The sequence below is a fragment of the Homo sapiens genome, chromosome 12 (assembly GCF_000001405.40).
Source record: "Homo sapiens chromosome 12, GRCh38.p14 Primary Assembly".
In the NCBI taxonomy this organism is placed as follows: domain Eukaryota; kingdom Metazoa; phylum Chordata; class Mammalia; order Primates; family Hominidae; genus Homo; species Homo sapiens.
The window spans coordinates 58,853,412-58,879,482 of record NC_000012.12 but is presented as its reverse complement, the minus strand read 5'-3'; the positions used below and the strand labels follow the sequence as shown (position 1 = coordinate 58,879,482).

Here is a 26,071-nt window from a genome sequence, read left to right as displayed (position 1 = left end):
AGAGACTTTAAAAAAAAAATAGATGAAGTGAGTGGTCAGGGTACAAAGAGATTAATTGATACACCCAAGATCTCACAGTTGATTGTTGAGGAAACTAAAAAGTGGCAGAAAATAGCAGGAAGACCTTCATTCTGAGAATCAGATGACCTCTGTTTTATCCTGACTTCATTGTTTCTGTATCTGTAACCTTGAGCAAGCCTTTTAATCTTTCCATCTCAACTTTAGTTTCCTTGACTTGAAATTGGAATTAACCCCTGCCCAATCTATGTCAGGGACAATCTGTAAGTATCAAACAAACAAACAAATAATAAAAAGGAATGCAAGTGAACCTGTAAGACTCCACTGTGCTAATGCCTATATTGTTTCTCTGATTTCAGTGCTTCCCTCATTCACCAAGACCCCCATGGATCTCACCATCCGAGCTGGGGCCATGGCACGCTTGGAGTGTGCTGCTGTGGGGCACCCAGCCCCCCAGATAGCCTGGCAGAAGGATGGGGGCACAGACTTCCCAGCTGCACGGGAGAGACGCATGCATGTGATGCCCGAGGATGACGTGTTCTTTATCGTGGATGTGAAGATAGAGGACATTGGGGTATACAGCTGCACAGCTCAGAACAGTGCAGGAAGTATTTCAGCAAATGCAACTCTGACTGTCCTAGGTGGGTGAATTTGTTAAGATTCTGTAGTATAAATCAGTCTTGAAGATACTAGCTCATCCAAGGTCCCTAAGTATCAGAAGTTGTGAGAGTAAGAGATGAAGATGTATGGGGCATTGCCTTTTCCTAGAAAGTATTAATGCAAATGGCCTCTTGAACACTTTGAAGTCAGGGATTGCATGACATCCTCAAGTCTGGCCACTGAGGTGAATCCCTGCCCCCTCCATCCTGAAGAGAGGGGCCGAGGAAAAGTTGGGATGCTTTCCCTTTTATGGGGGATCACCCTCCTCTAATTTCCCCACTGTGCTGTCTATATCAGTAGTCTTAACACCATAAAGAACATTAAAAAAAAATGTGGGAACAAATTGGGAAGGCCTTACTCTCTTTTCTCAGCCTACCATACCTCTCCGGAAGTCAGAGTTTTTTTTTCATCTTTTACCTAAACAAATGCTTTTTAAAAATGTAAACACAATTATTATTCACGTATCTTTGAAAGAGCTAATTAACGTAACCTATTAAGATACTAAATAATAAAAGTAAATTATTGTCAGAGTTTTAATATAGGCCCAGGCATCCGGCCCTAAAAAGTTTCACTTAAAAAACTTAAGCATTCTGATTTTTTTTATTTATCAACATACCCTTGTGCTTGAAATTATTTTTGTACTTTCTATTTTTAAAAAGCTTTTGTTTCCCACTCTCCCCCCCTACTACCAGCTTCCCGACTTTTGCAAAAGTGAGGGAAGCTGAGATTTTAAAAATAGTAGATATTATCCTTAACTGGTGTTATGAGTAAATGACAGCAGAATAGTGAAATACTGAATGTTGTATATGTTTAGGCTCTTAGAAAAGTGTGTCCAGTAAGTTGTGGGAGAATAAAATTTTAGGTTACAATTTGAATAAGTTTAAATGCTACATTTTATGATATGGAAACTAAATTTTATTTGGGAAATTAAAAGCATAACTTGTTATTTCAGAAACACCATCATTTTTGCGGCCACTGTTGGACCGAACTGTAACCAAGGGAGAAACAGCCGTCCTACAGTGCATTGCTGGAGGAAGCCCTCCCCCTAAACTGAACTGGACCAAAGATGATAGCCCATTGGTGGTAACCGAGAGGCACTTTTTTGCAGCAGGCAATCAGCTTCTGATTATTGTGGACTCAGATGTCAGTGATGCTGGGAAATACACATGTGAGATGTCTAACACCCTTGGCACTGAGAGAGGAAACGTGCGCCTCAGTGTGATCCCCACTCCAACCTGCGACTCCCCTCAGATGACAGCCCCATCGTTAGACGATGACGGATGGGCCACTGTGGGTGTCGTGATCATAGCCGTGGTTTGCTGTGTGGTGGGCACGTCACTCGTGTGGGTGGTCATCATATACCACACAAGGCGGAGGAATGAAGATTGCAGCATTACCAACACAGGTGTGTAAACAGAAGCTTGGCACAGGTCACCGGAGTCATGTGTATTTGTGGTTCTGCAAATACTTCTAGAACGTGTGTCTTGCAGTCTGAGTTCATCTCAGAAGGGTGACTCATTTGTTTCAAGCTGCAGAAATATGATTCGCTAAAAAACTCCAGCCCCAAATAAAGCTGATGTTTAAAGATTAATACTTTTTGTTAAAATGACATCAGGGTATCCTGTGGCTGTGAGATAAAATCCAAGTCACTGACTAAAATATTTCTAACTCCTTCATAAGATAGTGATGGAGAACCAGGAACAGCCCTTTAATGATAAGGTTTACTCTCTGCAGTAGTTGTATGTCTTGTTGTCTGTGCGTATGTGCATGTACTTAGGTTGGATTTTATTAGTGGAAGAGGAGCTGTGACTTGATTAGTATGTGCAAAGTCAGATATTGATTAGTAATATTAAGAAGGGAATATGGCAATAATCAAGCATAATTCGAAAGCTTAGATACTGTCCCATGAAAATTCTTAGGCCTTCAGCCTTTTAAAAAATCTGTTTAAACATTTGTTGTTTTGAAATTTGGGAGGTGCATCCAATGGGTGATAAAACAGAAAGTCAGCTTATACGTCCCAGAGCAGCAAAGCCCTAATTTGCCGTTCCAGAATACTGTACAATCGAGATGGTTTTGCCAGAGTAGATCTCCCCTAATTTGATGTATACAGAAGCCAAAATAGTCTATGCCATTCACCCGGGATGCCTGTGGGACAATTAACGATCATCCTTGGTTAATAAAATGCTGCTGTTTTATTACAGATGAGACCAACTTGCCAGCAGATATTCCTAGTTATTTGTCATCTCAGGGAACGTTAGCTGACAGGCAGGATGGGTACGTGTCTTCAGAAAGTGGAAGCCACCACCAGTTTGTCACATCTTCAGGTGCTGGATTTTTCTTACCACAACATGACAGTAGTGGTAAGTGTTTAAAATGAATGTGGGCTGTAATTGTTTTGAAGTCATATGGTGGAAGGCTCAGATATGATATTCATTTTCACAAGACATTGATAACACTGACATTTAGGACCTGGCCCAAGATCACTAGCAAGGTTGAAATTGTATAGTTCTATACCGTTCTCTTAAATACTAGGAAAGAAATAAATCTTTGTTTCTAACAATAAAAAAAGACTAGTAGGTTTAGAAAAATGTAATTATTCCATGTGTAAAGGATATTTGTGTATCCTTTACATTATAAATGTTCTTTGGCCCTTAAATGATATTAACTGGTTACATGAATGGGCTTAAAAGTCTAATGGTTTACATTATTTTCTTTAAGAAGTCTATTTTTTATTTATTTATTTTTATTTATTTGAGACGAAGTCTCGCTCTGTCACCCAGGCTGGAGTGCAGTGGCGTGGTCTCAGCTCACTGCAGCCTCCACCTGCTGGGTTCAAACGATTCTCCTGCCTCAGCCTCCCAAGTAACTGGGACTACAGCCACATGCCACCACGCCTGGCTAATGCTTTCTTTTGTTTTTGTATTTTTAGTAGAGATGGGGTTTTGCCATGTTGGCCAGGCTTGTCTTGAACTCCTGACCTCAGGTGATCTGCCTGCCTCAGCCTCCCAAAGTGCTGGGATTACAGGCGTGAGCCACCGCACCCAGCCTCTTTGAGAAGTCTAATTCTGACCCTTGCTTTCAATGCTGCATAGTTTTGAGAATAATAATGGAGACAGCATAATACAAGAGCACAGGTTTGGTACAAGACCTACTACTTACTGCATGTACTGTGGGGCACATACAATACTTTCTGGTGAGGTACTTGTGCAAATGAAATGAAGATGGAAAACTACATGGCGCTAGGCACATATTAAGGGCTCAGCAAGTGGAAGCCATCGATGTTATTCTAAAATATATGACCAACTTTTCCCATAAGTATTTATTATACGCTCTGTGCCAGACATTGTAGTTGGGAGAGAAGTATATGTTTTCAATTTCACAGTTTCGTCAGAGGTGGATAAACTAAAAGTGCTTGGCAAGCCAGAAATAAAGAGCGTAGAGTTACAGGATCTGAGCATAGAAGTGAGTATTCTGGTTAGACCCGTTTAGAGGCAGAGTGGAGACCCAAGCTCATTAAAGCATAATGGGGTTAACTGAAAAGACACTTAAGGAAAACCTAAAGGGACAGAACTGGGGCATAATAATGCCAGGCTGCCTAGATGCTGAGGCTGGAGATGAGGCTGCTCCCAGAGTAGCTCTGGGCCACCAGCATTACTGTGTCACGTTCTGCATATTTGCTTTTCTCTCAGCCCACCACCTCTTGCTGCCCAGTTTCTGCTTCCCAGACACATGCGTCATCGTGACATCTCTAACCCTGATGATATCATTTACTCTTCACCTGCTGTGTCCAGCAGTAAATGGCGTATATTTCTGTGTTGTTTGGTTCAGATACTCATGAGATGATATGTTTAGCTGAGCTTATCTTTGAGATGGGCATTAAGAGGTCATTGGCCAAGTGCCAATCCTGGTTCTGGTCATCTGGGACCTTTTGTAAGAAGGGGACAGTGCTGATGGTATGTGGTTTAGACCATGGCTGCTTTGGCTGCAGGATCTGCACATATCAGTTTCCCGTAGAAACCAAGTGAGCAATAAGGCCACCACACCTAGCACAATGGCTAATTAAGTCCTCTAATAAATTTTTTAAAACCCTACTGTAAATTTTTGCAATTTTTTTGTCTATATGATGTTCTAGTCAAACTTTCATCTATAAATATGGAAGATGCCAAAACTGGGGAGAATGTTGAATGGCACTTGAATAATTGGATCATTGACTAAGATTTTTGTTTCAAAGGGACCTGCCATATTGACAATAGCAGTGAAGCTGATGTGGAAGCTGCCACAGATCTGTTCCTTTGTCCGTTTTTGGGATCCACAGGCCCTATGTATTTGAAGGGAAATGTGTATGGCTCAGATCCTTTTGAAACATATCATACAGGTAGGTGGTTTTCTTGCTTGAGTACAGTTCTGTTTCTTAGAGAGACTTCTAGATGTGCTAACTGTAATCTCCTTCTGTTACTGCCCCCATATTAAAAAGGTTGCAGTCCTGACCCAAGAACAGTTTTAATGGACCACTATGAGCCCAGTTACATAAAGAAAAAGGAGTGCTACCCATGTTCTCATCCTTCAGAAGAATCCTGCGAACGGAGCTTCAGTAATATATCGTGGCCTTCACATGTGAGGAAGCTACTTAACACTAGTTACTCTCACAATGAAGGACCTGGAATGAAAAATCTGTGTCTAAACAAGTCCTCTTTAGATTTTAGTGCAAATCCAGAGCCAGCGTCGGTTGCCTCGAGTAATTCTTTCATGGGTAAGTTTATTAAGTTATCAGGTACCTCGTCTGAGGATCCATACTCCAAGTTGTGTGTGAGAGAGCAATGACAGCCTTGAATGTCAAACTGGTAAAAAATGGTTTCTTGAATGAGGCTGCCATGACATCCGACTAGTTAGTGTAAATGCCTCCAAAAGCAAAGTCAGAGGTGGGATTTTACTTGATGATGTGTTTAATCTATAACTAAGCCTCAGGAGCTTTCTGGGTAGCACTGTGTGTGGCATCTACTCCAAGACAAGGGTTTGGGGAGGACTTAGGAGCTCAGCTTGTCAGCCATGTGGAAAAAGTGGTTTTGGGCTCCCACGGCCTTTGGGGTGGAGTTGTGTGCTCTGCATGATTGTGGTTTGGTATGTCTGGTGGCTTCCAACTGAACCCGCAGTCGAAGGGTGGAAAACAACATCCTACCTAGCAACAACTGCTAGTCTGACAAGCTGGACTACCTTTGGCCAAGAAAACCAGCCTTAAGGTCCAAGTCGGTGGTGTTAGATGCTGGCTGGCACTGAGATTAGGTAGTGAATTTTTTCGTCTGATGCATGGGGATAATAGGATGGAAGAGCTGAGGTCATCTTTTCACTGAACAGAGAGATGGAAAAATCAGCCACAACTTGCCATGTTGACAATAAAATTTAAAAAAGGAGAATTTTCAAATATTTTACCCAACTTCTACGAAATGTTATGTTTTATCACAGTGTAATTATTTATATTCCTTTTTTGGAAAAAATTAAAATAATATGCTTTGTATAACTGAGGCAAGAATTTGATTCAATTGAGTAATATTTGGCTACAATTAATGAAGAAAGGGCAGGACACAGGTTTATTTTGAAAGAAAATTTCTTTATTTAGCCTCAGTTAACTTGGATGTTACCATCCAACACACCCGTCACCAAAATTGGGCTCTCAGCTAGGATGTGGGGAAACTTATATTGGGGAACTTTATTGCATGACCATTAACATTACTACAGGTCATGAGAAATGATAAAGAATAGATGCATTTGTTCAGTGGATGTAAATATGAGGGAAGGCAAATGTCTTTTGCTCCATTCTAGAAGTGATCTGGCTGTAAGACAGATGTACATGTATGTGAGTGCCATAATGTGGACTTGTAGAAAACACTTACTCATATTCATGGGGTAAGATGTTCCTTCATTTGCAATGGGTTTTATTGATTCACATGCTAGCAAAGGGACCCATGTGCTCAAGGTGTTTCTTTCTTTCAGGTACCTTTGGAAAAGCTCTCAGGAGACCTCACCTAGATGCCTATTCAAGCTTTGGACAGCCATCAGATTGTCAGCCAAGAGCCTTTTATTTGAAAGCTCATTCTTCCCCAGACTTGGACTCTGGGTCAGAGGAAGATGGGAAAGAAAGGACAGATTTTCAGGAAGAAAATCACATTTGTACCTTTAAACAGACTTTAGAAAACTACAGGACTCCAAATTTTCAGTCTTATGACTTGGACACATAGACTGAATGAGACCAAAGGAAAAGCTTAACATACTACCTCAAGTGAACTTTTATTTAAAAGAGAGAGAATCTTATGTTTTTTAAATGGAGTTATGAATTTTAAAAGGATAAAAATGCTTTATTTATACAGATGAACCAAAATTACAAAAAGTTATGAAAATTTTTATACTGGGAATGATGCTCATATAAGAATACCTTTTTAAACTATTTTTTAACTTTGTTTTATGCAAAAAAGTATCTTACGTAAATTAATGATATAAATCATGATTATTTTATGTATTTTTATAATGCCAGATTTCTTTTTATGGAAAATGAGTTACTAAAGCATTTTAAATAATACCTGCCTTGTACCATTTTTTAAATAGAAGTTACTTCATTATATTTTGCACATTATATTTAATAAAATGTGTCAATTTGATGCCAAGCCCCATTTATACAATAACAATTTTTATTATTTTTAGCACAATTTAGGCTTAATTAGTTCACATTATCATGTCTCAAACGGATGGGAATTATATTTAGCCCATTAAAGTATGAACAAAAATGACCGTTTTTTCTACCTCCCAGGATTGTTGTAATACAGATTGAAATCAGATTGTGCATATGAAAGCACAATTGTAAACGAGAAGGAGCTACAGAGATTTAAGGTACATTATTTCTAAATCTACGAACAAAAAAAGATTTGTTGTTATAATCTGGTGTAATATAGTACAACTACCATAAATCACTGCTCAATTCATGTTTCTTTAATTATAATAATGGTTTACGTGGTCTAATGCCTTATGCTTATCCAAGTAGTTTCACTTTTGCCGTCCCTTTTCTTACAGCAAGCGAGTGGTTTATTGCATATGTCTATAGCTAAAATGGCTCTAGCAGAAGTGGACTTTCATGCACTGTTCCAGGTTGTAATGAGATGCTGCTAGAATTGTTTTCTGTTTTTATTGATTTTCTGCTGGAAGAGCAGTTTGTATATAAATGGTACTTCTAAGCTATTTTTGAACAATTACCAAAATATTTTCTTTGATCATCAAGGTTTGGTTAAAAACTAAGTATAAAATATCTTACTTAAGCACATAAAACTAAAACATTTGTTTTAAAACAGTATTCATTGAAAAATGTAATTACATGGCAGGCATATATACACAGAAAAATGAATATAACCATATTTTCTTTTTTTTTTTAATTATACTTTAAGTTTTAGGGTACATGTGTACAACGTGCAGGTTAGTTACATATGTATACATGTGCCATGTTGGTGTGCTGAACCCAGTAACTCATCATTTAACATTAGGTATATCTCCAAATGCTATCCCTCCCTGCTCCCCTCACCCCGCAACAGGCCCCAGTGTGTGATGTTCCCCTTCCTGTGTCCATGTGTTCTCATTGGAATATAACCATATTTTCAAAACTAGATGACACAATTCAAAGTAACTGAAAGGAAAAAAAATTCAGTTTAATAATTCAGATTATAAAACTTTTTTCTTCTGTAGTAAATTCTAGCTCATATGTGTAGTTTAAAGAAAAACCCTCTTGCTCAAGATAAATTGGCACAAAAGGAGTTAATATAGCACAATAAGCTTTAAAAGTCAACTAACCTCCAAGGTGTGAATTTATGCCATTGTCTTGTGTTTGAACTAAACTGAAAGCAGCTATTCAAAAAGCAGATTCTTCTTAGAGAATATGTTGGGGTTAAAGTCTTCCTGCTTTTAGTGAGTTTCGAGCTTTGTTGCTTGTGAGCCAGAAGCCTGGAACCCAGATTGCAGTCGATTTTCCTGCTTTAATTTAGACGCCAGAATCCAAGACAGGAAGTTGATCCTTCCTTGGACCACCAGTGACTAAGTACAGAGAAGTAATTTCGTATGCTTTGGCTTGATCATATTGCCAGATTTTCAAAATTTTATTGTTAATTTGTCTTCATTATTGCCAGATGGGGCCTTTTTCAGTTATTATGAACTTCTTTTAAAGGATTTAATTTTTCCGTACTTAAGCACAAAGGTTTAAATCATTAACGCCTGAAATTCAAAAATTAGATTCACTCTACATCAGTATGATTTTACCCTTTTACTGGGTGTATGTGCTGAAATTTGTGGATTAGATGTAATGTTAACTGTCTGGAGAAAGAGTAGGAACTTGATTTCTCTTTGACATTTGCAGGAAAAGAATATATATGATTTTGAGACTCCAAATTGAATTAACAAAATCAATCTAGTAGGTGGTAAGATAACCTAAAATAACATAGACTCAAGGTAAAAAGCCTAATGTAGATAAATGTCACATTGCTTGGAGGAATACTTAAAAATTCCAGTTTAATCATCCTATGCTTTTTGATAGGAGTTCATGTACAACATATTTTAATAGATGTTCACAAAATTTCTGTATTATTTATATCTTAATTCCACTATTGGCACTAATTGTAGGATATTGGGGAAAAATATTCCTTAGTTCTGGCAAAATTTTATGAAAGTTAAGTATCTGTGGAATATATATAATTTATTTTCACAGCCTTTCTACAGAAAGAAACCAAAAGTTACTGCTCAGAATAGAGCCACACTACTTTTTAAAGATTGACAGAACCAAGGAAAGTGGTTTGGTGTTTCTACACACTTGGGAGGCTTTATTTCTTTCAATTCAATGTGATAGGAAGTAATTTATAACCAATATTATGATAGATGTGCTACACTGGTATTCTTCAAGAGAATGGGAACCAAATGTCCTTGCAAAATGCCTGAGCTGTCCTTCCCACTCTTGCGATCTGAAATGATCAGATTTATGTAATAGGATAACTTTGAACTCATTGTTTAAGACAGCATTCTGTTAACACATTGGATAACACAGTACCCTGCCAAGAAAACAATTAGTCTTCAAAGAAAGGTACAGTTTCTTCATGAATTGAATAATTTTCATACTCCAGAAATATCTAGGTGCCAGAACTTAACCTTTTTTATGGGGCATTTCTTAAACTAATGTGTAATAGGAAAGTCCTGAAATAATTGTCTTGCTTGGTCTCAAACGTGAGCTAAAATGGCACAGAAGTATTTTCATTGGTATTTTATTTTAATAGAGAAGAGGTTTTGCCCACATATTTTCTGAATTATCTCAATATCTTGGGCCATTTGGTTTTTTGTTGTTGTTGAAAAATCTGTTACTGAATGGGATGTCTTTTGACAAAGACATTTTATTTTACTCAAGGTATATTATTAAGATAAAACATATGAAAGTCTATATTTTAGATTAAAATGTGCATAATTTATCAAGTCCATTCTTACTACTGTAAAAATTACAAGTTCATTTTTCATTCCTATTTTTTTTTTAGTGTCAGATCTGGATTCCATATCTGCCTGCATGATGGTTGATATCCATGAATACCTGGAAAGTTAAACCAACATTCACATGTGGCTTTTAATTAAAATTACATGTTTTAATTAAAGAAATTTTAAGAATACAGTTTAAAGAATATGACAAGGGAATTCACAACTGCTGTATAGTTCTTGCTTTTCTTCTATAATTTTTTTATATACCTTTGTTGGGTTTCATGTTGAACTTTGTCTTCTATTTTACAAGTATAACTTTTTTCTTAATTCTTTTTTTCTTCAGTACAACACCTAATACTTTTATGAGGTTATCGTAGTTGTTTTGTTGGTTATTTTGAGATTACTTCCTATGGTTTTATTTTGATCTAACTACAGCTCAGAGTTGAAATTTGGTAACAATACACTCAGTTTTCAAACACATTTCTTATGCTCTGGTGATGTGAAAAATGAATAAAATCTTATTCTAATTATCAGTGGGACAGGAAGCACGTTCATGAATAAATACTTATTATCGATGTGTTAAATGCTATAGCTCAGTAGGCCCCTGTTATTGGCAGTGATTGTCTCCGAATGTTTACTTTCTAACTGTACTACCTGGAAGTGTTACATGCACCTCACCAGCGTGTCCCAGGCTAAGCCAATTATCTCTTTTCTCCACCTGCATTCCACAGCAGTTCCAGTTCTGGTACTCTTTCTTGTTTAATCACCAGTAATCACCATTCCTGATGGTTTTGCTCCTGAGTTTTCTCAAGGCTGATGATACCTTCCCTCTTACCCCATTGCCACAGCTGAAGTTCAACCCCTTGTCTGTCTTTTGTAGCAGTGTTTTAACTAGTCTTTATCCTCCTTTGTTTTATCCAATCCATTGTCTTTGCTGTCACCAGAAATACTTTTTTCTAAAATAAATCTGAATGGGCAACCTCCCTGTTTAAAAACCTTCCATGACTAATTTTAAATCCTAGTTATGTCATATAAGACCTTTCGTACACATCCCAGCTCACCCTTCAAGCCATGCTCTCATCACCCCCGAATGTTTTGACCATACAGTACTCCTTATCCGCCCCTATGCACCGTGTCCTTTTATAAACTAAACATCATTGTATATATTATCTCATCTTCAGTTCTGCAAACATTGGAGTGGCTACCGTGCTAGGTGCTATCTTAGATGCTATGGCTATGGTAACATTACTAAGACAAATATTCTCTCAAGAAAGTGCTAGATAAATGACAAAACTTTTGTCCTGAAATGTTTTTTCTTCTTTCTCACTTGGCAGAATCCAGTTCTTCTAAGACAAAAGTTTTGCTTTTACCCCAAGCATAATAGCTGTTTTCCCATAGAACCATGTGAACCATCTGAGAAACTCACAGGGAAGCAGATAGTTACTAAGCCAGCTGTGATATCATTGTATAAGAAATACTAAAGACAGTTAACCTCTGTGTTAATCAGATACTTTCTAGGAAGAAATGAAGTAAAACAATCTGTGTTTTTGACAATCGCCAGATGATGTGGTCTAGCACTTAGCAGTGTAATCACATGATGAATTAGATGATGTGTGGGCACTTAGCAGGAAGTCACCTTATGCAGTTTACTAAAGGTAAACAGATGGCCACATGCATCAAGAGATTTTTTTTTTTTTTCTGTAGGAACAGTGAGTGGCTCCAAGTTAAGAAGTATGGGGTTTATGGGGGAACGAACTATAGTGATGTAGCTGGAGTGAGAAGTTGCTGTCCCTCCATCTTAACTTTGTCCTCAACCTATAAATATGATTGTGAGAATCCTATAATTCAATATCTATCTTCCCTTAACCTTGCCTCTAGATTATCCCCTCTCTTATTTTTCTCATTCAAACGTCTCAAAATCTTAGTTCCTCTTCAACCTAGGAAGATCAAAATTTGTTCATGTTCAATTGAAATTGCTTTTGCCAAGATTGCCAGTTTTCCTAACTTCCAAACTTGACCATATGTTTACAGTTTTTATTTTACTGGACTTAAACATTGTTGTAGCACCTTTCTGAATCTCTACATTTTTCTAGTCCTACTTGTCTTGCTGGTCTTTTTCCTTTGTCTCTTTCATTGATGTATCTCCCATGGCCCACTTCTTAAAAATCAGTGTTACTCAAGGTTTAAATTTGCTTGGAGTGTCTGATATCTGTCTATTCATTACAAAGTTAATTTTTTTATTTGCTTGGTATATTTTTCCCAGTTTTGTCATTTCCAATCTTACTGTGCCATTTTTGAAGTATCTGAAGTAGCCAAAGAAACAAAGTAGAATAGTAGTTACAGGGGCTGGCAGGAGGGGGAAATGGGAGTTCTTGATTAATGGGTATAGATTTTCAGATATGCAAGATGGAAAAGTTCTGGAAATCTGTTCCTGAACAATGTGAATATGCTTAACATTACTGAGCTATATACTTAAATTTTAAGATGGTAAGTTTATGTTGTGTTGTTTTAATCACAATAAAAAAATTGTGTCTGTTATAATCAAAATATACTTAAAACTTTTCCCAACATGGTCATCTATAGTTTTTTATAGGCGTGTGTATTAGGGTTCTACAGAAAAACAGAACCAATAGGATATATATAGACATATGGGAGGATTTTTTATGGGAATTGGTTTATGTGATTATGGAGGCTATGAAATCCCACAGTATGCTGTCTGCAGGCTGGAGAACCGGGAAAGCCAGTGATGTAATGCAGCCTGACCCAAAGACCTGAGAACCAGAAAACATGATGTAACTTTCAGTCCAAGACCTAAGGCCTGGGAACCTGGAGCTCTGATGTCAAAGGACAAGGATAAGGTGGATTTCCCAGTTCTACCACAGAGTGAATTCACTTTTCTTCCTGTTTTTTGTTCTATCTGGGCCCGCAGTGGATTGGATGATGCCCGTCCACATTGGTGTGAAGGGATCTTCTTTACTCAGTCCACTGATTCAAATGCTAATTTCTAATGGAACCACCCTCAAAAACAGAAATAATATTTTGCCAGTTATCTGGGTATCCCTTAACCCAGTCAAGTTGACATGTAAAATTAACCATCACAGTGAGTTCATGCTGTTATCATTTGAGAATTATGAATACCTTTGGAACTTTTTTTTTCTTTTTTTTTTCTTTTGAGACGGAGTCTCACTCTGTCACCCAGGCTGGAGTATAGTGGCTCACTGCAACCTCCGCCTCCTGGGTTCAAGCCATTCTCCTGCCTCAGTCTCCTGAGTAGCTGGGATTACAGGCATCCGCCACCATGTCCAGCTAATTTTGGTATTTTTAGTAGGAATGGGGTTTCACCATGTTGGCCAGGCTGGTCTTGAATTCCTGACCTTGTGATCCGTCTGCCTCGGCTTCCCAAAGTGCTGGAATTACAGGTGTGAGCCACCACGCTCTGCAGAACTCTTTCTGCTATTTTTTTTTTTGTTCTGTTTCTCATCATTTTTCTTTTTCTCCTTTTCTTGACTTGAATTTTTTCTTGTTTTCCCTTGCTAGTTTGGAACTTACAGGTTAGTTATATTTTTATTCTTTGTAAAGTTACTACTAAAATTTTAACATGTTTTCTCTCTCTATCCCTCTCCTCTTGTTTTTTTTACTAATAGAGGGTTATACTTCTTTGTCTTCCCAGAAAAGAAAAGATAGTGATTTAACAAACTTTTCCTGCTCACCTACATTGTCTTCATTCATATTTATTAGAATGACCAACATACTTTACCATTCCTTCAATCACTTTAATTTCATTATGTTTGGTTAATTTTTCTTCTTGATAAACCAGTTGTCCCTCAGTATACTCCAGGGATTCATTCCAGGAGCACCTGTGTATACCATAATCCACACATACTCGAGTCCCGTGGTTGGCCCTGTGAAACCCACATATTTGAGGTCAACTTTCCTTATATGAAGGTTTGGCATCCCTTGAATATTGTACTTTTGGTCCATGTGTGTGTGGTTTTTTCTTTTTAATCTCCATATAAATGGACCCATGTAGTTCAAATTCAGACTGTTGAAGAGCCAGCTGTGTATTCCTTAGGAATTATTTTAACCTGTTAAAAAATATGTTCTCATGGCTTTTGTGGGTCTAAAGATATCCTCATCTTGCCCTAACTTGAATAATGGTTTAGTGAATAAAAAGTATTAAATTGGTGGTCGTTTTACTTGACTGTCTTTCAGAATCGTTTGTTGAAATCTGTTCTCACTCTATTGTTAGTGCTCTGCTACTGATCCATCTTTCCGTCTGGTAGCTTTTAAGTCTTTTTGCTTTATCTCTCATCCTTTTCAGTTTCATTGTAATGGTTCTAAATGTGCGTTTATTTAACATACCTGACCTGATGCACATTTAATCTGAAAATTTGTTATAATTCTGGAAAAACCTTGCCCTTTTAGAAAACTGCTTACCTGTCTTTCCATTTACTCTTAAATTCTCAAATCCCTTTAAGATGTGTTTTGGAGCCTCAAATAATCTTTTATATTTCTCATTTACTCTCACATGTTCTTTCTAGGTGAATAATTATCTTAATTATTAAGATTAATTATCTTACTGCTCTAATTTTTAGCTGCAATCTAAAAAGTCCTTTTTTATGTCAAGGACTGTATCTTTACATATGTCAGAATGCTAGATGTTTCTGTTTTTAGCCATTTCTTATTAAATTGTATCCACCTGCTTGTGTTTCACAAAATTATATGGTGCTTTCTTGTGTCTCTGATAATCTTAAAATTATTTCAAAATCACCAAGATTGTTGTATTTTTATTTTTTCAAAACTGACAGAATCTCTGTGTCGTTTACCATCTCTCTTAGTTTTGGTTGTGTGCTTTGGAATTTTTGTTTGCAGGTTTATCTTTTTCCTTTTCTTCCTTTTAGTGTTGACTCTCCCTTTTTAGTGGTTTTATGATTGCCTTGTGGTACCACGGGACTCTTAGTCCAGAACCAGCTTTTGTATTAAAAGCTAGGGATGATGTAGGTACCTGTCATAGTCATAGAGCTGGCCAGCATTGGCTCAAGTACTACCTCCTTCAAGCACTGTAAGTTCACAGATTGACATATACCTTAGTCCTAGTCAGTGGTCACTGCTGTTTCCATAGGCGGAGAGCCCTGCTCCCGTGTCCAGTTTGAGCCTGCCTCCATTTCCTGCAACACCAAGGGAACTTTTGGCTCTTGATTAAGCTTTTGGCTCTGCCAGTGTTCTGACTTAGAGCTTTATAGAGCACTGACTTTAGTCTCTGTCACTGCTGTGTGTGTTTCTGTTGTTTTTTGTTGCTTGAATGTGGTCCATAAATATGTTCTCTAATTCTATGTCTCATATGTAGCCATGTGTATGTACCATATATGTGACACATACACATGCATATATGTTTATATTTGCTGGGTGAAGATTAAAGCATAGTGCTATTCTGGCCATAAAGGGATTTCCTAACTGAGAAAGAGACTGTGGCTCTAGCTTTTGTGATTAGATGGAGTTTAACGTCACTAAGCAAGATATGAAACATGGTAAGTTTGGAGAGAGGACATAATACATTTTATTTTATACAATTTGAAAGATTTATTAGAAAACTAAAATAGAATTCCAATAGGCTCTTAGAAAGTGGGTATAATGTGAAAATGGTCGAGATTGAAGAGGCGAGAATCACTTGCATGCAAGTTAGAGTCTAGGTTCTGAGAGGTTACAAGATGAAGAGAGTTTGTTGAGTGTGTAGATAAGATACAAAAGTATACAGGACAAACAGATGAAGTGGAATTGAAAGGAAACCTGAAAAGAGTTTTCAGAAAGGTAAAAGAAAAATGAAGAGCAACGAAGAGTTTTAAAATGTATTCATTGCCTACTATTTATTCAACAAACATGCATTGAACACTTTTTATTTTTTGTGTTTACCTGCAGAAGATACAGTGACAAAAGATGCTATTCTCATTGAGCTTATAGAGAAGGATAGATGATTATGCAAAATAAATGCTATATAGTATGTTACATAGTGACTAGTGCTAGAAAGAAAAAGCGAGGAGATGAGTTTACTAGTATTTGGGGTGGGGGCTGAAATTTTAGATAGGGGAAATTCACTCATTTGAGCTATGTCCTAAAGAAGTGAGGGACCCAGTCATGTTATGTGCAGGAAAAGCACTCCACACAGAACGGACAAACTGCCAGTGAAGTGGTGTTGGGGCAGGAGCAGGTAGCTAGAAGCAGCTGGCCAAGAGAGAAAAGAGTCACACATGAAGCCAGAGAGGTAACACAGGGGTCCTAAAAATGGCCTTACATGCAAGGACTCTGGCTTTTTCTCTATGGCACAGGCATAGAAGTTGAACGACTTTGGTCAGAGGGAAGGCATGTTAACAGGTTCATTTTATGGCTATGCTGAGGATAAACTAAAGAGGGCAAGGCTGGAAGCAAGAAGACTATAACCATTTCATAATCCAGGCAAGATGTGATAGTAACTTGGACTAGAGTTATACCTGTAAAGGTAGTGAGGTTATTGTTTATATAGCCATAGGTTGGCTGTAGGGTATAACATAAAAAGTGGATTCAAAGATGACCATAAGGTTTTTGGTTCCAGTAACATGAAAGATGGAGTTTTCAAATCTCAGATGAAGTTTGCGGAAGGATCAGGTTCATAGAGAAGGTCAGCTGGTGGGGCGCTGTGGCCCACGCCTGTAATCCCAACACTTTGGGAGGCCGAAGCAGGCAGATCACCTGAGGCTGGGAGTTCAAGACCAGCCTGGTCAATATGATGAAACCGCTTCTCTGCTAAAAATACAAAAAATTAGCTGGGCATGGTTGCAGGCACCTGTAATCCCAGCTACTTGGGAGACTGAGGAGGGAGAATCTCTTGAACCTGGGAGGCGGATGTTGCAGTGAGCTGAGATTGTGCTGCTGCACTCCAGCCTGGGCACGACAGAGCAAGACTCCATCTCAAAAAAAAAAAAAAAAAAAAAAAGCTCAGCTTTGGATAGATGTATGGATTCTGAGGGACATCTCAATGGAACTGTCAGGTTGGCAGTAGTTGAATATGAATCTAGGATGAATGTATAAACTCAGGAGTCATTAGCATAGAGATGGTATTTAAAGCCTTTGAACCAAATTAGTTCACCTTGGGAGTGGGCATAGACAGAAAACAGACAAGGTCCAAGCTGAGCTCTGGGCCTCTCCAACAGTAACAGGTCTGGAAGATGAGGAGTATTCATCTAAGCTGATAGAGAAGGAGCCACTAGTTACATAGGAGGAAAAGAAGCAAAGGTAGTGAAAGCCAAGTGAAAAAAGTATCAAGGAGAGGGGAATGACTGACGGACATGGTTTGGCTGTGTCCCCATCCAAATCTCATCTCAAATTGTACTTCCTATAATCTCTACATATCGTGGGAGGGACCCAGTGGGAGGTAATTTTGTCATGGGGGCAGTTACCCCTGTGCTGTTCTTGGGGTAGTGAGTTCTCATGAGATCTGATAGTTTTATAAGGGGCTTTTTCCCCTTTGCTTGGCACTTGTTCCTTTTGCCATGTAAAGAAAAATGTTTGCTTCTCCTTCTGCCATGATTGTAAGTTTCCTGAGGCCTCCCAGCCCTATGGAACTATGAGTCAATTAAACCTCTTTCCTTTATAAATTACCCAGTCTTGAATATGCCTTTACAGCAGCATGAGAATGGACTAATACAGTAAGTTGGTACTGGGAGTGAAGGTGCTGCTATAAGGGTACGTGAAAATGTGGAAGTGACTTTGGAACTGGGTCGCAGGCAGACATTGGAGCAGTCTGCAGGGCTCAGAAAAAGATAGGAAAATGTAGGAAAGCTTGGAACTTCCTAGAGACTTGTTGAATGGCTTTGACCAAAGTGCTGATAGTGATATGGACAATAAAGGCCAGGCTGAGGTGGTCTCAGATGGAGATGAGGAACTTGCTGGGAACTGGAATAAAGGTGATTCTTGCTATTCTTTAGCAAGGAGACTGGCAAAATTTTGTCCCTGCCCTAGTGATCTCTGGAACTTTGAACTTGAGAGAGATAATTTGGGGTTTCTGGCAGAAGAAATTTCTAAGCAGCAAAGCATTCAAGAGGAAGCAGAGCATAAAAGTTTGGAAAATTTGCAGACTGACAATGCAGTAGAGAAGAAAAACCCATTTTCTGGGGAGAAATTCAATATACCCGCAGAAATTTGCATATGAAATGAGCCAAAGGCTAATTGCCGAGACAATGGGGAAAATGTCTCCAGGGCATGTTAGAGACCTTTACGGCAGCCCCTCCCATCACAGGCCCTGGAGGCCTAGGAGGGACCCCTAGGGGGTCCAAGGCCCCCCTGCTGTCTGCAGCATCAGAACTTGATGCCCTGCATCCCAGCTGCTCCAACTGGGGCTAAAATGGGCCAACTTACAGCTCAGGCTGTGGCTTCAGAGGGTGCAAGCCCCCAGCCTTGATGACTTACACATGGTATTGGGCCTGCAGGTACACAGAAGTCAAGAATTCGGGTTTGGGAACTCCCCCCTAGATTTCAGAGGATCTGTGTAAATGCCTGGAAGTGCAGACAGAAGTTTGCTGCAGGGGTTCAACCCTAATGGAGAACCTCTGCTAGGGCAGTGCAGAAGGAAATGTGGTGCCGGAGCCCCCACACAGAGTTCCCCCTGGGGCACCACCTACTGGAGCTGCGAGAAGAGAGCTACTGTCCTCCAATCCTCAGAATGGTAGATCCACTGACAGCTTGCGCTCTGTGCCTGCAAAAGCCGCAGACACTCAATGCCAATCTGTGAAAGCAGCCAGGAGGGAGGCTGTACCCTGCAAAGTCACAGGGCCGGAGCTGCCCAAGGCCACAGGAGCCTATCTCTTGCATCAGTGTGACCTGGATATGAGACATGGAGTCAAAACAGATCATTCTGGAGCTTTAAGGTTTAATGACTGCCCTATTGGATTTCGGACTTGATTGGGGCCTGTAGCCCCTTGGTTTTGGCCAGTTTATCCCATTTGGAAAGGGTGTATTTACTCAAAGCCTGTACCTACATTATATCTAGGAAGTAACTAACTTGCTTTCGATTTTACAGGCTCCTATGTAGAAGGGACTTGCCTTGTCTCAGATAAGACTTTGGACTTGGACTTTCGGGTTAATGCTGAAATGAGCTAAGACTTTGGAGGACTATTGGAAAGGCATGATTGATTTTGAAATGTGAGGGCATGAGATTTGGGAGTGTCCAGGTTTGGCTGTGTCCCCACTCAAATCTCATCTTGAATTTTGGTTCCCATAAATCTCATGTGTTGTGGGAGGGACACACGGAATTGAATCACACACATGATTCAATTACCTATGATAGGAGGTGATTGAATCATGCAGGCAGTTATCCCCATGCTGTTCTCGTGATAGTGAATTCTCATGAGATCTGATGGTTTTATAAGGGGCTTTTCCACCTTGGCTTGGCACTTTTTCCGTCCCCCACATGAAGAAGGACGTGTTTGCTTCCCCTTCCACCATGATTTAAGCTTCCTGAGGCCTCCCCAGCCCTACAGAACTGTGAGTCAATTAAACTAATTTCCTTTACTAATTATCCAGTCTTGGATATGTCCTTATGAGAGACAGGACTAGCTGGATTTCCTAGGCCGACTAAGAATCCCTAAGCCTAGCTGGGAAGGTGACTGCATCCACCTTTAAACACGGGGCTTGCAACTTAGCTCACATTCGACCAATCAGGTAATTAAAAAAAGCTCACTAAAGTGCTAATTAGGCAAAAACAGGAGGTAAAGAAATAGCTAATCATCTATCGCCTGAGAGCACAGCGGGAGGCAGAATGATCGGGACATAAACCCAGGCATTCGAGCCAGCAAGTTACCCTCTTTGGGTCCCCTCCCTTTGTATGGGAGCTCTGTTTTCACTCTATTAAATCTTGCAACTGCACTCTCTTTTGGTCCGTGTTTGTTACGGCTCGAGCTGAGCTTTCACTCGCCGCCCACCACTGCTGTTTGCTGCCGTCGGAGACCCGCCGTTGACTTCCATCCCTCCAGATCCAGCAGGGTGTCCGCTGTGCTCCTGATCCAGTGAGGCACCCATTGCCGCTCCGGATCAGGCTAAAGGCTTGCCATTGTTCCTGCACAGCTAAGTGCCCGGGTTCATCCTAATCGAGCTGAACACTAGTCACTGGGTTCCACTGTTCTCTTCCATGACCCACGGCTTCTAATAGAGCTATAACACTCACCGCATGATCCAAGATTCCATTCCTTGGAATCCATGAGGCTAAGAACCCCAGGTCAGAGAACACAAGGCTTGCCACCGTCTTGGAAGCAGCCTGCCACCATGTTGGGAGCTCTGGAAGCAAGGACCCCCCAGTAACATTTTGGCGACCACGAAGGGACCTCCAAAATGGTGAGTAATATCGGACCACTTTCACTTGCTATTCTTTCCTATCCTTCCTTAGAATTGGAGGAAAATACCGAGCACCTGTCGGCCAGTTAAAAACGATTAGTGTGGCCACCGGACTTAAGACTCAGGTGTGAGGCTATCTGGGGTTGGGAGCCTACAACCAGCTTCCACTTTCAATTTTCTTGGGGAAGCTGAGGGCTGACTAGAGGCAGAAACCTGTTGTCCCGAACTCCCAGCATTAGCCCATTGAGATCATGGCACAGCCAGAAGTCTCTACTTAACAGTCGCCCATGTGTGCACCCCTACCTTTCCTTTTGACCCATACCTCCTGGGTCCTGACCAGGACTTTCTTGAAAGTGTAGCCCCAAAATTCTCCTTACCGCCGAATCTACTTCCTCTGATCCCTGCCTCCTAGGCACTAATGGTTCAGACTTCATTTCCTCTAGCAAGTTGTATCTCCAAAGGGATCTAAGGAAGCTCTAGGCTGCATCCTTAGGCATCTAGACAATAAACCCAGGGAGTCTTATCCCTGGTGTCCCTCCCGATTTAGGTATACAGCTCTCAACATGGGCAGTTACGTGGGACCCGTTCTCTACCACCCTTGCCAGGGCCTCAAGTTTGTAAATGGCTAAGAGAGAGACAGAGGGGAGAGAGAGAGAGAGAGATAGAGGAGAGAGAGAGGGAAGAGGGAGAGAGAGAGGGAAGAGAGAGAGAGGGAAGAGAGAGAGAGAGACAGAGGAGAGAGAGATGGAGGAGAGAGAGACGGAGGAGAGACGGAGGAGAGAGATAGAGGAGAGAGAGAAAGAGACAGAGGAGAGAGAGAGAAAAAGAGGGAGTCAAAGAGAAAGAGAAAGATAGTAATAGTAAAAATCAGTGTGCCCTATTCCTTTAAAAGCCAGGGTAAATTTAAAACCTATAATTGATAATTGAAGGTCTTCTCCGTGACCCCATAACACTCCAATACTACCTTGTTGTCAGTGTAAACAAGGGCGTAGCCTGAAAACACTGAGACCACTGACAACCCGTAGCTTTCCTATCAAAAACCCTTCATTAACCCTGTAACCCGCCGATGCATTCAATCTGTAGCGGCAACTGCTTTGCTAACAGAAGAAAGTAGAAAAGAAACTTTTAGAGGAAACCTCATTGTGAGGAAACCTCATTGTGAGCACACCTCACCAGTTCAGAATTATCCTGAGTCAAAAAAGAAAAAGGTAGCATACTAACTCAAAAATCTTAAAGTATGGGGCTATCCTGTTAAAAAAAGGTAATTTAACACCAACCACTGATAATTCCCTTAACCCAGCAGATTTCCTAACAGGGGATTTAAATCTTAATTACCATATAAAAGTCCAAAAAGACCTAGGAGGAATTCCCTTCAGGACAGGATGATAGATGATTCCTCCCAGGTGATTGAGGAAAAAACCACAATGAGTATTCAGTAATTGATAGGGAGACTCTTGTGGAAGCAGAGTTAGAAAAATTGCCTAATAATTGGTCTCCTCAAACGTGTGAGCTGTTTGCACTCAGCCAAGCCTTAAAGTACTTACACAATCAAAAAAGACTACTCAATCCTGACTCAAAAGGTTACCTACACCCTCTCTGAAATGAATTTGCATAAGAACTGTTTATGGGAGTTCATCTTGATGGGGCAGCTGGGTTGTTATGAAATACTCAGGAACCCAGCCCAGCTCTAGGACTCACCCCTGAGCACAAAAGCAATGTTGGGCACCCTGGTAAAGGACCACTAGAATTCAGCAGCCCAGACCCCTTTCTTTGTGGTCAAGAAAGGCGGGAAAAGGAGTGCAGGACTGCTGCATCAGTGAGCTTAACTAATCTGATAAGCAGAAGTCCATGGTTGTGCACCCTGGAAAGGAATAAGCATTAGTACCATAGAGGACACTCTAGGACTAATGCTCTACGGGAAATGACTAGGGGTGCTGGCATCCCTATGTTCTTTTTCCAGAAGGGAAATGTTCCCCCCAAGGCAAAAACGCCCCTAAGATGTATTCTGGAGAATTGAGACAAGTTTGACCCTCAGACGCTAAGAAAGAAATGACTTATATTCTTCTGCAGAACCACCTGGCCATGATATCCTCTTCAAGAGGGAGAAACCTGGCCTCCTGGGGGAAGTATAAAGTATAACACCATCTTACAGCTAGACCTCTTTTGTAGAAAAAAAGGCAAATGGAGTGGAATGCCATACATACAAACTTTCTTTTCATTAAAAGACAATTCGCAATTATGTAAAAAGTGTGATTTATGCCTTACAGGAAGCCCTCAGAGTCTACCTCCCTACCCCAGCATGCCCCCGACTCCTTCCCCAACTAATAAGGACCCCCCTTTAACCCAAACTGTCCAAAAGGAGATAGACAAAGGGGTAAACAAGGAACCAAAGAGTGCCAATATTCCCCGATTATGCCCCCTCCAAGCAGTGGGAGGAGGATAATTCGGCCCAGCCAGAGTGCATGTACCTTTTTCTCTCTCAGATTAAAGCAAATTAAAATAGACCTTGGTAAATTCTCAGATAACCCTGATGGCTATATTGATGTTTTACAAGGGTTAGGATAATCCTTTGATCTGACATGGAGAGATATAATGTTACTGCTAAATCAGACACTAACCCCAAATGAGAGAAGTGCCGCCATAACTGCAGCCTGAGAGTTTGGCGATCTCTGGTATCTCACTCAGGTCAATGATAGGATGACAACAGAGGAAAGAGAACGATTCCCCACAGGCCAGCAGGCAGTTCCCAGTGTAGACCCCCACTGGGACACAGAATCAGAACATGGAGATTGGTGTCGCAGATATTTGGTAACTTGCGTGCCAGAAGGACTTAAGGAAAACTAGGAAGAAACCTATGAATTATTCAATGATGTCCACTATAACAGGGAAAGGAAGAAAATCCTACTGCCTTTCTGGAGAGACTAAGGGAGGCATTGAGGAAGCATACCTCCCTGTCACCTGACTCTATTGAAGGCCAACTAATCTTAAAAGATAAGTTTATCACTCAGTCAGCTGCAGACATTAGAAAAAAAAACTTCAAAAGTCTGCCTTAGGCCTGGAGCAAAACTTAGAAACCCTATTGAACTTGGCAACCTCGGTTTTTTATAATAGAGATCAGGAGGAGCAAGTGGAACGGGACAAACAGGATACAAAAAAGGCCACCGCTTTAGTCATGGCCCTCAGGCAAGCGGACTTTGGAGCCTCTGGAAAAGGGAAAAGCTGGGAAAATTGAATGCCTAATAGGGCTTGCTTCCAGTGTGGTCTACAAGGACACTTTAAAAAAGATTGTCCAAGTAGAAATAAGCCACCCCCTCGTCCATGCCCCTTATGCCAAGGGAATCACTGGAAGGCCCACTGACCCAGGGGATGAAGGTCCTCTGAGTCAGAAGCCACTAACCAGATAATCCAGCAGCAGGACTGAGGGTGCCCAGGGCAAGTGCCAGCCCATGCCAGCACCCTCACAGAGCCTCCAGTATGCTTGGCCATTGAGGGCCAGGAGGTTAACTGTCTCCTGGACACTGGCGTAGCCTTCTCAGTCTTACTCTCCTGTCCTGGACAACTGTCCTCCAGATCTGTCATTATCCGAGGGGTCCTAGGACAGCCAGTCACTAGATACTTCTCCCAGCCACTAAGTTGTGACTGGGGAACTTTACTCTTTTCACATGCTTTTCTAATTATGCCTGAAAGCCCCACTCCCTTGTTAGGGAGAGACATCCTAGCCAAAGCAGGGGCCGTTATACACCTGAACATAGGAGAAGGAACACCTGTTTGTTGTCCCCTGCTTGAGGAAGGAATTAATCCTGAAGTCTGGGCAACAGAAGGACAATATGGATGAGCAAAGAATGCCCATCCTGTTCAAGTTAAACTAAAGGATTCCACCTCCTTTCCCTACCAAAAGCAGTACCCCTTAGACCCGAGGCCCAACAAGGACTCCAAAATATTGTTAAGGACCTAAAAGCCCAAGGCCTAGTAAAACCATGCAATAGACCCTGCAATACTCCAATTTTAGGAGTATAGAAACCCAACGGACAGTGGAGGTTAGTGCAAGATCTCAGGATTATCAATGAGGCTGTTGTTCCTCTATACCCAGCTGTACCTAACCCTTACACTCTGCTTTCCCAAATACCAGAGAAAGCAGAGTGGTTTATACTCCTGGACCTTAAGGATGCCCTTTTCTTCATCCCTGTACATCCTGACTCTCAATTCTTGTTTGCCTTTGAAGATCCTTCAAACTCAACATCTCAACTCACCTGGACTGTTTTACCCCTAGCGTTCAGGAATGGCCCCCATCTATTTGGCCAGGCATCAACCCAAGACTTGAGCCAGCTCTCATACCTGGACACTCTTGTCCTTTGGCATGTGGATGATTTACTTTTAGCTGCCTGTTCAGAAACCTTGTGCCATCAAGCCACCCAAGCACTCTTAAATTTCCTCACTACCTGTGGTTACAAGGTTTCCAAACCAAAGGCTCAACTCTGCTCACAGCAGGTTAAATACTTAGGGCTAAAATTACCCAAAGGCACCAGGGCCCCCAGTGAGGAATGTATCCAGCCTATACTGGCTTATCCTCATCCCAAAACCCTAAAGCAACTAAGAGCGTTCCTTGGCATAACAGGTTTCTGCCGAATATGGATTCCCAGGTACGGCAAAATAGCCAGACCATTATATACACTAATTAAGGAGACTCGGAAAGCCAATACCCATTTAGTAAGATGGACACCTGAAGCAGAAGCAGCTTTCCAGACCCTAAAGAAGGCCCTAACCTAAGCCCCAGTGTTAAGCTTGCCAACGGGGCATGACTTTTCTTTATGTCACAGAAAAAAAACAGGAATAGCTCTAGGAGTCCTTACACAGGTCCGAGGGATGAGCTTGTAACCCGTGGCATACCTGAGTAAGGAAATTGATGTTGTTGCAAAGGGTTGGCCTCATTGTTTATGGGTAGTGGCGGCAGTAGCAGTCTTAGTATCTGAAGCAGTTAAAATGATACAGGGAAGAGATCTTACTGTGTGGACGTCTCATGATGTGAACAGCATACTCACTGCTAAAGGAGACTTGTGGCTGTCAGATAACCATTTACTTAAATATCAGGTTCTATTACTTGAAGGGCCAGTGCTGCAACTGCGCACTTGTGCAACTCTTAACCCAGCCACATTTCTTCCAGACAATGAAGAAAAGATAGAACATAACTGTCAACAAGTAATTGCTCAAACCTACGCCACTCGAGGGGACCTTTTAGAGGTTCCCTTGACTGATCCCGACCTCAACTTGTATACTGATGGAAGTTCCTTTGTACAAAAAGGACTTCAAAAAGCGGGATATGCAGTGGTCAGTGATAATGGAATACTTGAAAGTAATCCCTTCACTCCAGGAACTAGCACTCAGCTGGCAGAACTGGTAGCCCTCACTTGGGCACTAGAATTCGGAGAAGGAAAAAGGGTAAATATAAATACAGGCTCTAAGTATGCTTACCTAGTCCTCCATGCCCATGCATCAATATGGAGAGAAAGGGAATTCCTAACTTCCGAGGGAACACCTATCAAACATCAGGAAG

At 40.7% G+C, this 26,071-nt stretch overlaps 1 protein-coding gene across 2 annotated transcripts in view, besides 1 other annotated feature; it reads left to right on the top strand.

Annotated features, from left to right (window-relative positions):
* LRIG3 (leucine rich repeats and immunoglobulin like domains 3) overlaps nucleotides 1–7,328 on the top strand; it is a 48,350-nt gene extending 41,022 nt beyond the window's left edge. For both annotated transcript variants that reach the window (NM_153377.5, NM_001136051.3), the window contains exons 14-19: nucleotides 378–659; nucleotides 1,631–2,083; nucleotides 2,880–3,038; nucleotides 4,910–5,053; nucleotides 5,153–5,428; nucleotides 6,667–7,328. In NM_153377.5, the coding sequence (NP_700356.2) occupies nucleotides 378–659; nucleotides 1,631–2,083; nucleotides 2,880–3,038; nucleotides 4,910–5,053; nucleotides 5,153–5,428; nucleotides 6,667–6,911 (1,559 nt within the window). In that variant the 3' untranslated portion in view covers nucleotides 6,912–7,328. The remainder of the gene's footprint in view (nucleotides 1–377; nucleotides 660–1,630; nucleotides 2,084–2,879; nucleotides 3,039–4,909; nucleotides 5,054–5,152; nucleotides 5,429–6,666) is intronic.
* Nucleotides 18,683–19,206: an enhancer, noted in NCBI's record as "H3K4me1 hESC enhancer chr12:59254059-59254582 (GRCh37/hg19 assembly coordinates)". NCBI's record gives its function as "activates a minimal SCP1, AML or CMV promoter by ChIP-STARR-seq in primed H9 embryonic stem cells {active_cell/tissue: H9 hESC(primed)}" and the evidence as "EXISTENCE:reporter gene assay evidence [ECO:0000049][PMID:30033119]".